The 14,578-nt window shown below is 52.2% G+C and overlaps 3 annotated features.

The window, feature by feature from the left end:
* Positions 9,127 to 9,206: an enhancer, noted in NCBI's record as "active region_11288". NCBI's record gives its function as "activates an Ori minimal core promoter by ATAC-STARR-seq in GM12878 lymphoblastoid cells {active_cell/tissue: GM12878}" and the evidence as "EXISTENCE:reporter gene assay evidence [ECO:0000049][PMID:35858748]".
* Positions 11,436 to 11,485: an enhancer, noted in NCBI's record as "active region_11287". NCBI's record gives its function as "activates an Ori minimal core promoter by ATAC-STARR-seq in GM12878 lymphoblastoid cells {active_cell/tissue: GM12878}" and the evidence as "EXISTENCE:reporter gene assay evidence [ECO:0000049][PMID:35858748]".
* Positions 12,626 to 12,925: an enhancer, noted in NCBI's record as "active region_11286". NCBI's record gives its function as "activates an Ori minimal core promoter by ATAC-STARR-seq in GM12878 lymphoblastoid cells {active_cell/tissue: GM12878}" and the evidence as "EXISTENCE:reporter gene assay evidence [ECO:0000049][PMID:35858748]".

Genomic DNA, 14,578 nt, shown 5'->3' with positions numbered 1-14,578 from the left:
GCAGCCTCTGCCTCCCGGGTTCAAGGAATTCTCCTGCCTCAGCCTCCCCAGTAGCTGGGATTACAGGCGTGCACCACTATGCCTGGCTAATTTTTTTGTATTTTTAGTAGAGATGGGGTTTCACCATGTTGGCCAGGCTGGTTTCAAACTCCTGACCTCAACTGATCCACCCACCTCGGCCTCCTGAAGTGCTGGGATTATAGGCGTGGGCCACCACACTGGGCCATCAGTCTGTTTTTTAATGGGAAGAAAATGTTTAGAAGCAGAATCCTCTTTGTGTGCACAGTCCAAGTGCCCTGGATACCCCAGGACAGTTTCACACGTGTGACTGAGCGTCAGAATGCCTTCAAACAAACAGCAGCCTCCACTGCCTCTTTCAGTCCTAGGCCTGAATATTCTTGAAATTCTTGGCCTCGGTACCTGGCCTGGGCACATAGGTAGCAGTGGTTCTTGGTCTGAGGGTTTCAGCCGTGGATCTCTCCTGCACTGTTGAGTGGTTTTCCTCTGAGGGGCTTTTAAGAAAGGCTATATAGTCCCACCCTGGATGTCATCACCTACTGCCTCTACCAGCCTGGCCTCCCACCAGTCCTGCCCTGGAGCTCAGAGCAAGACCTCCCAGAATCTGATTGTTCTGTTAGTCACCTACGGTGCCTGGAATTCTCTCAGTGCCAGCTTTCTGAGGAGCTCAAAACCATTTGCAGATCCTGCTGGTAAAATGGCTGCCCTGAGGTCAGCTGAGCTCTGTGCTAAATTACTTCTGCAATAAGAGGCAATTTTCCAAACTGTGCCTGAGAGTCCCATAGACCCAGAGCTCCTCACCCACTGGAGGCCTTGGGAGGAAGGCAGTGTTTAAACAGACATCCTGGGACTCTCCCGTCAGGGTGGTGGTCTCCATAGTTACTGGGATATGGTTCTCACGGTAGGTAGAGCGTCTGCTCACACAGCCCCTCCGCCTTTACACCTGGGCAGAGGGAAGCAGGCAGGACTGCATCTGGGCAGGCACGTAGGCTGGAAGTAGAAAAAGGAGGGATGCATTTTCACTAGGGGACCCGTGGAGCAAAGCGGGTGGGAAAAAAAAAGTCCAGGACCCAAAGAAAGTGCCAGCTTACCTGGGTATCTCCCCATCTTCAGCAAGGGGTCCCTTGGCTCACTTCCCATATGCACATCCCAAGCAGCCCACCCTGACACAGCCCTAGGTGTTCTGAAGATCCCATGTCTTCCCTGAACCTCCAGGAATGTTGGGCATAGCTGCTCTGAGCTCTGCCCCACCCAGACTCTGCCTTCGAAAGTCTTACCCAGGCTGACTCACTGTCCTATTACTCAGCCTTTCTGGGTGCTGTGTTTGGGATAACGGAAAGCACGAAGGGTAGCCTGGGGACTACGGGCAGTGTTGAGAGAGTAATGGAGTGCAGGGAAGGCCGCAGACAGGAAGGAACCTGAGTGCCTGGAGGGGCAGGGAGGTACCCGGGGAGGATGGAGCGCCAAGCAAGAAGGGTCACAGGTGGGGCTCCCATTTGCAAGTCCGGGTGGCAGGGAGGTGACAGTCTGTGGGGGTTTGGGCAGAGAAGGTCAGGAGAGGCGGCTGAGATGGCACAGGAAGCCCTTCTTGCCCCTAGCTGCTACCTCCTGCGCCGTGGTTCCACGGAGCGTCACTCCCTCGTGACTTCTGGGTCAGCCGATGGGGATGGACAGAGTCTGGCAGTGGGTACAGGAACCCTCGCCACAGTGGGTGGCCTTGAACTCCTGAACTCAAATGGGCCACCTGCCTCAGCCTCCCAAAGTGCTAGGATTACAGATGTGAGCCACCGTGCCTGGCCATGAACTTTATCTTAATTTTAAAATAAGGTGGCGTTCGGTGGCTCATGCCTGTAATCCCAGAATTTTTGGAGGCCGAGGCAGGTGAATCGCTAGAGGTCAGGAGTTTGAGAGACCAGCCTGGGCAACATAGCAAAACCCTGTCTCTATTAAAAATATACAAATTAGATGGGCGTGGTGACGTGCATCTATAGCCTCAACTACTCAGAGGCTGAGGTGGGAGAATCACTTGACCCCGGGAGGTTGAGGGTGCCATAGAGCCATGATTAGGCCACTGCACTCCGGACTGTGTGACGGAGCAAGGCCCTGTCTCAAAAGAAAGAAAGAAAGAAAGAAAGAAAGAGAGAGAGAGAGAGAGAGAGAGGGAGGGAGGGAGGGAGAGAGAGAGAGAGAAAGAAAGAAAGAAAAGAAAAAAAAGAAAAGAAAAGAAAAGAAAGAAAGAATAAAACAATAGTGGAGCATCAGGAAAAGAGATCTGGGAAGGGGGCACAGGGAAGGGGGAACCCTCCTGGGCTGCCTGAAACCCCAGTATGGGGATCACCACCAGCCACCACCTCTCTCCCACTGCCATGTTAAGGGTCCCAGCTGGGCGTGGGGGACTGGATTCTGCTTTTCCTCCCTGAGGTCCAGCCTCGAAGAGCCGAGGCCACACACAACTAGTTCTCATGAGGAAACTGGAAACTCTCCTCCAAGCCTCTCAGGGTTGCAAGGAAATGAAACAGGCATCAGATCCAACCTCTCCAATAAATCCAGTGCAGCGATCAGCCCGTGCCTAACCCGCGACGTTCGGGGAACTCACTGGGTCTTGAGCAGCTCAAGCCCGCTGCTGATTGCCAGAAATTTCCCCCTATGCTGTATGGAAACCATTTCCTGAATCTCCCATACTAACCCCAGTGTCACCCTTAGGGTCCCCCAAGATCCCCACACCTGCCTTACCCAGGACAGATTTGCAGAAGTGCTTTCCTCTTCCCGGGAACACGCCCACCGTCAGTCTTCCTCCCTGGCAGTGGCTTAGTTCCCCCACCACATGGGCTTCTGTCTTCGGCATGGGCTCGGGTTGGTCCATTCCTCTAACCTCAGCCAGACAGTGGGATATGGAACAAGGGATTAAAGCTTCCCACAGCCACGCGGGCAACGGCAAGGCCTGAGCTTAAGGATAATTTCCCTTCTCTGCAAAGGCCAGGCATTTAGTCTGAATGGGCAGAGTCTGCAAAGAGTGGGCCAGGAAGGGACGGGGAGCAGCCACAGCCCAGATGGCCCAGAAGAGCGAGTGACTGTCCCCAACCTGAGCGAGGTCCCTGAGACCCAAGGTGGCTACTGATCTCTTATCCCCAGAGGTAGGAGGGAAGGTGGGTGGGAGCCTGGGAGGGGGCTCCGGGCAGAGCTCCTGTGTGTGGCGGGGGAGCAGCCTGGTCTCCTCCCCTGCCCCAGGTCCCTGGGAGGTGTGGGAAGAGCTTCCTCCTCTTTGCCCTCTCTCTTCACCTCCTCTCAATACTTAATGCCACCTTCTGGGTGCCCACTGTGTGCCCAGCACTTTCCTGTACCCCTTTTTGGTGAATTTTCAAAAATGCTATCTTTAGTTTCTTACAGCAGAAGTCATATGTACTCCAGTTTGTTTGCAATGTAAGGATCACAAAAAATCTATACGGACAAAGCAGTGGCTGCGCTATGGGTTCCCTCCCACCCCCACCTCTGCCCCCACCCCCACCCAGGCACGGTGGAGTATGAGTCATTCCAACTGAAATTAAATCAGATATTGAAATTAAATGGCATGTAGAGAAGAGAGTTCATTTTCTTCACACCGTTGGCTGGCAGCGCCTGGAGGGAAGATCGCGTTCATTTGATGCACAATTCATTTGCTCATGGAGGAGAAGTCACTGCCGGAAGAGAATTTCTGAGCATCCAGCTTTTTTCTCGGGAGCTGCAGGGGAGCTGTAACCACCCTCCATCCTCAGCTGAGGCAGCCAGGGGCTCCTGGGGAGGTGAGCTGGCTCTCCAGGCTCCCAGGACAACTTAAGGGCGGGCTCTAGGACTCAGGGAATCCCCCTTCTGTGCAGACACCACTCTGTCAAATATTTTTATGGCTGAAAGATGGAAAGATGGGGCGATTGGTTGTGAAGTCCTCAGCAACCTTTGATATGCGGATGGACCCTGGTTTGCCGGGGTTCCCTTCCAGAGATACTGGGCCATAGGGAGAGGGCCCAGCCCCGAGGCTCAGCCGTAAGCCGTCAGCAGCCAGCGCAGGTACCACCTGCCTCTTAAGGGGTTAGCCTAGGCACCAAGCGCCAGTGGGTGATGTGGCACCTGTAGACTTTAAAAATAATTTTCAATCTCTGGAAAAGGAAAGAAATGAGCATTGATTAGAGGCAGTATACAGAAGGGGGTAAAAATGCAAATTCTGAACCCGACTGAGTTCAAATCCTGGCTCCGCCACTTACCTGGCTGGTAACTCTGGGCAACTTACTTCACCACCCTGTGCCTCAGCGTCCTACTTGTAAAATGGGAGCATAATGAGTGTCTGCCTTTTATGCGTGCTGTGCTTACGTGGCTTTTTGGTGTCTAGCACATAGCAAGCTCTCGCTAAATGTTCACGACTGCTAATGATGAGGGGCTTCCGTTTCCAGATGCTGGTCATTAAAACATGGCTGTATTTTTGTCCTACATCAAAATAGTTCCACTGACATAGGTACTGTCATCCCTCTTTTTCAGACGTGGGAACTGAAGTACAGGGAGATTAGGTGGCTTTCTCAAGGTCAGTCATTCTTTTTTTTTTTTTTTTTTTGAGACGGAGTCTCGCTCTGTCGCCCAGGCTGGAGTGCAGTGGCGTGATCTCGGCTCACTGCAAGCTCTGCCTCCCGGGTTCATGCCATTCTCCTGCCTCAGCCTCCCGAGTAGCTGGGACTACAGGCACCCGCCACCACACCCGGCTAATTTTTTGTATTTTTAGTAGAGACGGGGTTTCACCATGTTAGCCAGGATGGTCTCCATCTCCTGACCTCGTGATCCACCCGCCTCAGCCTCCCAAAGTGCGGGGATTACAGGCGTGAGCCTGGCCTAATTTTTGTATTTTTAGTAGAGATGGGGTTTCACCATGTTGGCCAGGATGGTCTCAATCTCGACCTCGTGATCTGCCCGCCTTGGCCTCCCAAAGTGCTGGGATTGCAGGTGTGAGTCACTGCGCCCGGCCAAGCCTGGAATTATATCAGGGTCAGCTCCGCGACTAGGCAGAGATCCCCTCGGTAAAGGGTCTGGGTGTCCCTGTGTTTTGTATTCCTAGACCTAGACCTGCACTGTCCTGACTGGCACAGGTGGCTCCAGAGCCCTTGACCCCTGGCTGGCTCGAGTCAAGGTGTGCTTTAATGTAAAATACACACCAGCTTTCCAAGACTTAAGACAAAAAGAAGAGAAATGGAAACTATCTTATTTTAATATTTTAATATTAAATCAAATATTAATATTGATTTAATATGAAAATTAAAATAATTTTAATATTGATGACATGCTGAAATGATAATTTTTGGATAAATTGGGTTAAATGAAAGATGTTATTACAATGAATTTCACCTGTTTCTTTTTACTTTTCTTTTTTTTAACATGGCTACTGGGAAATTGTAAGTGGCACTTGTGGCTTGAGCTAGATTTCTATTGGCCGTAGGCCTTGCCGGCCTGGCACCCCACAGGAGGTGCCCAGGAGGGCTTCGTAAGTGGATGAATGGATGAATGAATGAAGAAGCGAGTAAGTGAGCGAATGAAGGAGTGTGGGAGGGAACAGACCCTTGAGAACAGGACCACGGTGCGTCAGAGTCCCAGCTGGCCCCATCCCTGGTGTTCTCAGACTGTGCAGAGAGGCAGGTCCCTTGGTGAGGGGCCTGACGTGAGGTGAAGTGAGTGAATGGGCTGAGGAGCCATGCCCATGAAGGACTGCCCGAGCGTTCCCCAGCCAGCCTACTCCCTGGGCAGGGCCTCACGGGAAGCCCCACGCTGACCCGGGAAGCAGCATCCTGCAGAACAGCTCAGGCCCCTCTGGGGTCCGGTGTGCACCCCTGGCCCCTCCCAGCCCCTGGCCAATGCATGTGACACCCCCATGCTTCTAGCACTGCCTCCCATGTGTTCATCCAAAGCCCACGGGGGGCCAGGACCACACTGTAGCAGGCTTCGAGCCACCTGCTCTGCCTGCCCCAGAGGCCTCACGGAAGAAGAATGCCAAAGCTGTGCTCAGCCCCCAGGGCACGGTGCCCAGGCCAGCCCCAGCAGGGGCCTGCACACCATGGCGCCCACTGTGATGCTCGAGAAAAGTTAACTTTGAAGCTGCCGGTCCGAGCAGCTGAGCCAGGCAGGCTTTAGGAAGAGTGTTAAGGCTTCTAACCCTGCAGCCTCTGGTTCACCCATGTACAGTTGGGGCACGTGGTCTGAATCTCGCAGGGAAGCCCGCTGGACTCAACAGCACTCCCCTCTCTTTTCAAAGATGTGCGGAAACCCTACTCATTTGGAACACTTGGGAAAAAATATTTTACTTAAGGTTTCAGGTACCTGACTTTTAGCCCCTTAAGCACAATGCTTAATTAAACATGGTAATGGTTTTAGGGGAGAAATGTCTAACAATGGCATTTATCCTTTTCTTTATGACAAATGGTGGTGTAGGGAGGTACGAGGCTGGACTCTGTTGGACCAAAATGCTCTTGGCACTACTGGGCGTAGAGCACTGGACTGGGAGTCCCTCCACAGCTCTCCCAGCGGCCACCCTGTTTGGATGTTGGGGATCCTTTTCACAGTTCTTCATTCTCCTCCTCTGGTCATCAGCTCTCGCTCCTGCTGCGTCAGGGCAGGGCGGCGTGTTCAACCTCCTTCCCTGCAGCCCCTTCCCCGCAGCCTACCTAAACCATCTTCAGACGGCTGCTTCTGCTACACTCAGCTGGAAAAGCCAAGCTTATTCAGCATATGTACAGTTAGGCCAAAAGTTTGGGCCAGCTCTTGCCTCTGATCGCTGGGTGGTCTTTGGTGCCAGGCTTTGGGTCCCCCTAGGCTCCTCTGCTGCCTCCTGATTCTCTGTCGAGGTGTGGACAGGTGAGGTCCCCAGGTGTGCCCTCAAATAAATGTCATTCCTGTCCTTCTCGGGATATAATTGGTCTATGAACAGAAATGCCTATTGCTTGAAGGCAACAAGTTCCCTGCAGTTAGCAAAGTACCAATCTTTGTGTCTTCGAGATGGTTTCAACATCTGCTACTTCCTGAATTTGGCAGGAAATAATTAATTCAACAAAGCAAGCTCACCCATGGGCTGAGTGGGGCACAAGGCTGAAATCTGGGAGCTATGCTTCATCCCTATCCGCCTGGCCACAGATCCCATCCCTGCCCCTACCCCACCCACCCCACGTCTCAGGGACTCACTTTACCTCTCCACTCCCCGACACACCCATCCCATCTTTCCATACCACGATGTCAACCCCAAGCAAAGCTGGGGCCTCCAACTCTCTTGTTTTGGGAGGTCCCACTCCTGAGCCCAGCAAGCTTATAAAAAAATCCCACCCATTTACACCATTAAATACCATTTGTTCTGGAACATTTAAAAACTAATTTTTATAATTTTGCATTTGAAATTATTTGGCTAAAGTTAACTTAAATGTAATGGTGGGCTGGGCGTGGTGGCTTATGCCTGTAATCCCAGCACTCTGGGAGACCAAGGCGACCTCACCTGAGGTCGGGAGTTCGAGACCATCCTGACCAACATGGAGAAACCCCATATCTACTAAAAATACAAAATTAGCCAGGCGTGGTGGCACATGCCTGTAATCCCAGTTACTTGGGAGGCTGAGGCAGGAGAATCGCTTGAACCCAGGAGGCAGAGGTTGCATTGAGCCGAAATTGCGCTATTGCACTCCAGCCTGGGCAACAAGTGCGAAACTCCGTCTCAAAGAAAAAAAAAAGTAACGGTGGCCGTGACTGCTTGGCAATCACGCATATTCAGGAAGATTAGTGAAGCTAAACTTCATTTGGCTTCTAAACATACTGAAATCGTTGTGAAGACTACACTTAATGACAAAGTTTCTGTGTCTCAAGTAAACTTTCATTAGCTTGGATTTTGCAGTTTTCTCCATATTGTAGAACCCATAAGGTTTTTGTTTTTTTGTTTTTTTGTTTTTTAACTTTTGGACTAGATAATACATTTTCATGATCCAAGTTGCAGGAGGAACAAAGGACATAGAGAAAAAGTCTCCCAGGACCTCTGCCCACCCCATTCCCTTCCTCACAGGCAGCCAAAAGCCCTGGTTTCCATCGGAACCTTATGGAGATGTTTTATGCTTCAGAAAGTGCAGATCCAGGTTCTCCTCCCTTTTTATTTTTATTTTTATTTTGAGACGGAGTCTGGCTCTGTCACCCAGGCTGGAGTGCAGTGGTGCGATCTCAGCTCATTGCAACAACCTCCACCTCCCAGGTTCAAGCGATTCTCCTGCCTCAGCCTCCCCAGTAGCTGGGATTTCAGGTGCCCACCACCACGCCTGGCTAATTTTTGTATTTTTAGTAGAGACGGGGTTTCACCATATTGGCCAGGCTGGTCTTGAACTCCTGACCTCATGATCCACCCGTCTTGGCCTCCCAAAGTGCTGGGATTACAGGCTTAAGCCACTGCGCCCAGCCTCTCCTCCCTTTTTTATGCAATGATTGAACATTTGTATGGTCTTCTGCACCTTGCATTTTTTCACTTGGAGATCTTTCCATATCAGAACGTAACAGCCCAGGCACAGTGCCGTGCACGTGTAATCTCAGCACTTTGGGAGGCTAAAGCAGGAGGATCACTTGAGACCAGGAGGTTGAGACCAACTTGGGCAATATAGTGAGACCCCGTTTTTACAAAAAATGAAAACAATTAGCCAGGCATGGTGGCGTGCTCCTGTACTCCCAGCTCCTTGGGAGGCTGATATGGGAGGATCGCTTGAGCCCAGAGGGTGGAGGTTGCAGTGAGCTATGATATGCCACTGCACTCCAGCCTGGGCCACAGAGCAAGATCTCGTCTCAAAAACAACAACAACAACAAAAAGACAGGATATAAAAGCTTTGTCATTCTTTATTTCTTTATGGCTACGAAGCAATCTTTTGCTTTTAGTTTTGAGGGTTTTTTTTCCGCTCTGGAACATCTTTATAGGCTCCTGGGGAGCTCACCGACCCAGGCATTGCCCACCTCCCAACACAGCCCCCGTTCTCCTGACTGAGTTCTCTGTGCCCCAACAGCCCTGCCCTGCGCCCACTCACCCCACCAGCAGGTGGAGCCGGCTTCCCAGGCAGCCACTGATCTGACCGCCCGCCCCTGCTGAAAACGCCTCCGTAGCCAGCTGCTAGCATTGGCACAGAGTTCCAGAATGGGACCCCAGCACCTGCAGGTCTCCGAGGATCACACTGCCCATGCCCTCGGGTCCAGTCCATCAGCCTCCTCACCTGCTGATCCTGCCCTCCCGGCCCTGCCCTCTCTAATCCCAGCCCTGCCATCTGCCCCTCCGGCCCCTCCACTTTGCTTCCACACCCGCCTCACACTCACCATCAGTCAGGGTCTCTGCCCACGGCCTCAGGCTCCATGAGGCAGGGGTCTTGCTTGTCTGTTCCCCAGACTGCCAGCACCTGACCAAGTGTCCAGCACGTATGAGATGCTCAGGAAATAATGTCAGGAATGAATGAGCGAGTGGGAGACTGCCATAATTCTTCCTGTCCCAAGCGTGGGCTAGGAAATTTGAGACCTGACTCCTAATCCCAAATGCCCCCACTCATGGGGGACCTCCGGCAGCTCGCTCCTCACGTGACAGCTTGACCCTCCTTGCTTGCATCAGTGGGGCACCCCCAAGGCCCGGCACGGCTCCTCCGTCGTCTTCAGCGCCCCACCTGTCTCTTTTCCTCCCCTTCATCTCCTGCTGTCCCATGGCTTCTGCTTTCTGGCTTCCTTCCTCTTTCCGTGTGAATCTTTTTGTTTTCTTAGCACCAACTTTGCCCTCATACCTCCTCCCTGCAGGAGGGCTGCCCCCCACCACCGGGGGCCAGGCTGTTCCTCTTTCTATGTGTGTTTTTGAGACAGGTTCTCACTCGGTTGCCCGGCCTGGAGTGCAGTGGCGCGATCGTAACTCACTGCAGCTTTGAACTCCGGGGCTCAAGTGATCCTCCCACCTCAGCCTCCCGAGTAGCTGGGACTACAGGCATGCTCCACCATGTCCAGCTAATTTTTAAATTTGTTTTCTTCCCATGTTGCCCAGGTGTGGAACTCCTATCCTCAAGCCATTCTCCTGCCTAAGCCCTCCAAAGTACTGGGGTTAGAGGTGCACACTGCCATGCCCAGCTATGTTCCTCCCTCTCTGCTGCAGAGCCAGCCTTTGGGACTGCGGGGCCCATGCACCCTCGGCTCTGCCACAGCAGTGGGGCTGCCTGGCATCTGTGGCATCTGTGGGTTATGTGGTCATGTCAAGGCCTGGCTGCTGTGCTGGGTGAAGCACCCCTTCCCTCCCTTGACCTCCCTTCCCTCCATTATTGTTTTATTACAGCCTCAATGAGGAGCCCTTTTTTTTTTTTTTTTTTTTTTTGAGACAGAGTCTCGCTCTGTCGCCCAGGCTGAAGTGCAATGGCGCAATCTCAGCTCACTGCAACCTCCGCCTCCCGGGTTCAAGCAATTCTCCTGCCTCAGCCTCCTGAGTAGCTGGGATTATAGGAGTGTGTCACCATGTCCAGCTAATTTTTGTATTTTTAGTAGAGATGAGGTTTCACCATGTTGGCCAGGCTGGTCTCGAACTCCTGACCTCGTGATCTGCCCACTTTGGCCTCCCAAAGTTCTGGGATTACAGGCGTGAGCCAGTGCATCTGGCAAGGAGGCATTTTCATGTCGTAAAATTCACCTGTTTTAAGTATTCGATTCAATACTTTCAGTGAACTGACAGGTCTCTCTGCCCCTTTGCAGGCTCTCCTCCTTCCCAGCCCCAGTCCCAGGTAACAACCCATCTGTTCTCTGTTGCTAAGGACTTGCCTGTTCTGGGCATTCCATACAAATGGAGCCATACAGTATGTAGTGTTGTGTGACTGGCTTCCTTAAGCATAATGTTTTTGAGGTTTATCTACATTGTAGCATGTATCGGCACTTTATTTCTTTTATGGCTGAATAATACTCCATCGTAGTCCTGGCACGGGTGACCACATCTATAATCCCAGCACTTTGGGAGGCCAAGGCGGGCAGATCACTTGAGCCCAGGAGTTCCAGACCAGCCTGGGCAATATGGTGAAACCTCATCTCTACAAAAAAATACAAAAATTACTGTATTTTTATATACAAAACGCTGTGGTGGTGCAGCATGCCTGCAGGCCCAGCTACTCAGGAGGCTGAGGTGGAAGGATCACTTGAGCCTGGGAGGTCAAAGCTGCAGTGAGCCAAGATCATGCCACTGCACTTCAGCCTGGGTGACAGAGTGAGACCCTGTCTTCCCAAAAAAACAAAGACACCCGCCATCATCTGGCTGGACCACATTTGGTTTATCCGTTCATTCGTTGACCCACAACCCACAGTTGGGTTGTTTCCATTTGTGGCTACTGTGAGTCAAGCACTGTGAACATGAGTGTCTAAGTCTTTATATGAACATGTGTTCTCTTGGCTAGTACCTGAAGTGAAATTGATGGATCGCATGGTAAATAAATGCTTAACTTTTTAAGATTCTGCCAAACTGCTTCCCAAAGTGGCTGTATTATTTTACATTCCCAGCAGTAATTTAAGCATTCTTACCCACCCTTACCAATATTTATTTTCTTTTTTTAAAAAATCACAGCCATCCTAGTGTGTATGAAATGGGATCTCACTGTGGTTTTGATTTGCATTTCCCCGATGACTAATGATGTTGAGCATGTTTTCACGTGTGTGTTGGCCATTTGTATATCTTCTTCGGTGAAATATCTACTGAAATCTTCTGCCCAGTGGTGTTTTTGTTTTTGAGACAGGGTCTCGCTCTGTTGCCCAGGCTGGAGTGCAGTGGTGCAGTCATAGATCACTGCAGCCTCGACCTCCTGGGCTCAAATGATCCTCCTGCTTTAGCCTCCCGAGTAGCTGGGACCACAGGCACATACCACCATGCCTGGCTACTTTTTTACTTTTTGTAGAGACAGGGTCTCCCTGTGTTGCCCAAGTTAGTCTGGAACTCCCAGGTCAAGCCATTCTCCCACTTTGACCTCCCAAATTGCTGGGATTACAGGCATGAGGTAGTGCGCCCAGCCCAGTCTTTTGGGGGTTTTTTTTGGTTTTGGGGTTTTTTGTTTTTGTTTTTGTCTTTGAGATGGGAGTCTCACTCTGTCACCCAGGCTGGAGTGCAGTGGCGCGATCTCAGCTCACTGCAACTTCTGCCTCCTAGTTCAAGCTATTCCCTGCCTCAGCCTCCCGAGCCTTTTTTTTTTTAAGACAGGGTCTTGCTATTTTGATGATGTGGCCAACTATTCTTGGGACTTCCCCTCTGTTGGGAGACGCTTTTTGTGCTAGGTACAACAGCCTGGGCTTGAGTCTGTTTCCTGTCGTCCCTTTAACACCTGGGTGGCCACTGTGTGTGACTCTGATCCATGTCCACTGAGGGACAGCACGGTGAGAATCCCAATCAGACTGCCTAGCGGGAACCCAGGCTCTGACCCCCACTCACCTGGGGCAAAAGTGAGGACACCGCTCTATGCATCAGTCACTTCATCTGCAAAAGGGGAATCAAAATAGTACTGACCTCAGAACTCTATGCAAAGTTTGTATTTGAAGCAGTGCCTGGAACTTAGGCAGCTCACCACAAACACTAGCTATGATTCGTCTGGTTCCCTCGACTTCATGGTGAATTAACATTCACGCTCACTCCATCTTCACAGCGGTCCTCTGAGTGGTTCTCCTCAGCCCATGCTGGGGTGAAACACTGACACTCAGAGAGGCCGAATGATGTCGCTAAGGTCTCACACAGCCCGTGAGGGGCTGCCGAGGCTTCAGCCCAGGTCAGGGGATTCCAGATCCCCTGCCACCTCGCTCCCCGACGTTTGCTCCCAGAAAGACAAAGTGAGGTTCATTCCATCCGTCTGAAATCTCAGGCAGAGGCTGTTCCGACGTCCCTGGGCCCCACGCTGATGCTGCTCAATAAACCAGTGCCTGCCAGGGGCCCGGGCATAGGGCTCAGTGGTGAGAGACTCAGCTCCCGCTGCTGCAAGAGGAACCCTTGGCCCTAAGGGAGGCAGAGCTGTGGGGGGCGGGGATAGAGGGCGCCGGTGTTTGGGGACACACTCAGGAGGCCGGTGTGGGGCATGAGGAGGGGGCATCTCAGAGCAGGGGCTGCAGAGCCACAGGCTGAGCCTCCTGCATGGATGGGGTGTCCCTGCCTGTCCCCTTGCCGCCAACCCCACTCCTGGGGCCTGTCTCCCCAGAGCCTGTACTTCTTTTTTTTTTTTTTATTTTGAGACAGTCTCACTCTGTCACCAAGGCTGGAGTGCAGTCACATGTTCTCGGCTCACTGCAACCTCCGCCTCCCGGGTTCAAGCGATTCTCATGCCTCAGCCTCCCGAGTAGCTGGAGCTATAGGCATGCGCCACCAGGCCTGGCTAATTTTTGTATTTTTAGTGGAGACAGGGTTTCACCACATTGACCAGGCTGATCTCGAACTCCTGACCTCAGGTGTTCTGCCCACCTCGGCCTCCCAAAGTGTTGGGATTATAGGCGTGAGCCACTGTGCCTGGCCCTGTACTTCTTTTTGTCTGTTTTTTTGGCTTTGTTTATTTTTTGTTTTTGAGACAGGGTTTCACTCTGTCGCCCAGGCTGGAGTTCAGTGGTGTGATCTCAGCACTGTGTCCGGCCTGCAGCCACCTTTAACCCTCCACGCTGCTTAAGAAACCATTGTTGGGCCGGGTGCAATGGCTCACGCCTGTAATCCCAGCACTTTGGGAGGTTGAGGTGGGTGGATCACGAAGTCAGGAGTTCGAGACCAGCCTGGCCAGCATGGTGAAAGCCCCGTCTCTACTAAAAATACAAAAATTAGCCGGGCATGGTGGCACACACCTATAATCCCAGCTACTCAGGAGGCTGGGGCAGAAGAATCGCTTGAACCCGGGAGGTGGAGGTTGCAGTGAGCAGAAATCATGCCACTGCACTCCAGCCTGGGCTACAGAGTAAGACTCTGTCTCAAAAAAGGAAAAGAAAAGAAAAGAAACCATTGTTGAATAGGAAACCGAATGTCACAGGTGCACCACGTGTTGGTAGGACGTGGGGAGTTGTGAATGGGAAGAGGGTCTCCCTGCTAGCCCCACTCCCCACCCTGCAGGACCCCTAGGAGGTGATGCGGAGCCCCCGGGCTCAGGTCCCTGCAGAGTGGGGTGTGGCTGCGGGGTGCTCGTCTCATCCTGCACCCGGAACCCAGAACTTTCCTGGGAGCTTTTCCTCCTGACGCCCACAGGGCAGCTCCCTTGCACCTGCCAGGGCTTCCTCTACAATCACTGGCTCACAGAAGCTTTTTCCTGCCCATCCTGTCTACAATTTTGACTCCCCACCCCCACCCTTTATAGCCTCCGCTGTAAGCATTTTCCCCGTAGCACTCAGGCTCTGGTGCCCATGAGGGGCAGGGTTTGGCCTGTCTCTCTCAGCCTCTCTATTCTCAGGGCCTGGAGTGGTGCCTGATGGGCGCCAGTAAATGTGTAGAGCTCTTGTCAAACTGTGCACAGGAAGCTGCTCTCCCAACCATTAATCCCCAAGGGGAGACGGGGGGGAGAAATTGCTCTAATTCTTCTTCTCCTACTTCCTCTG

This window comes from Homo sapiens, chromosome 16 (assembly GCF_000001405.40).
Source record: "Homo sapiens chromosome 16, GRCh38.p14 Primary Assembly".
Lineage (NCBI taxonomy): Eukaryota > Metazoa > Chordata > Mammalia > Primates > Hominidae > Homo > Homo sapiens.
The sequence above is the reverse complement of the archived record's forward strand: the minus strand, read 5'-3'. Positions and strand labels throughout refer to the sequence as shown.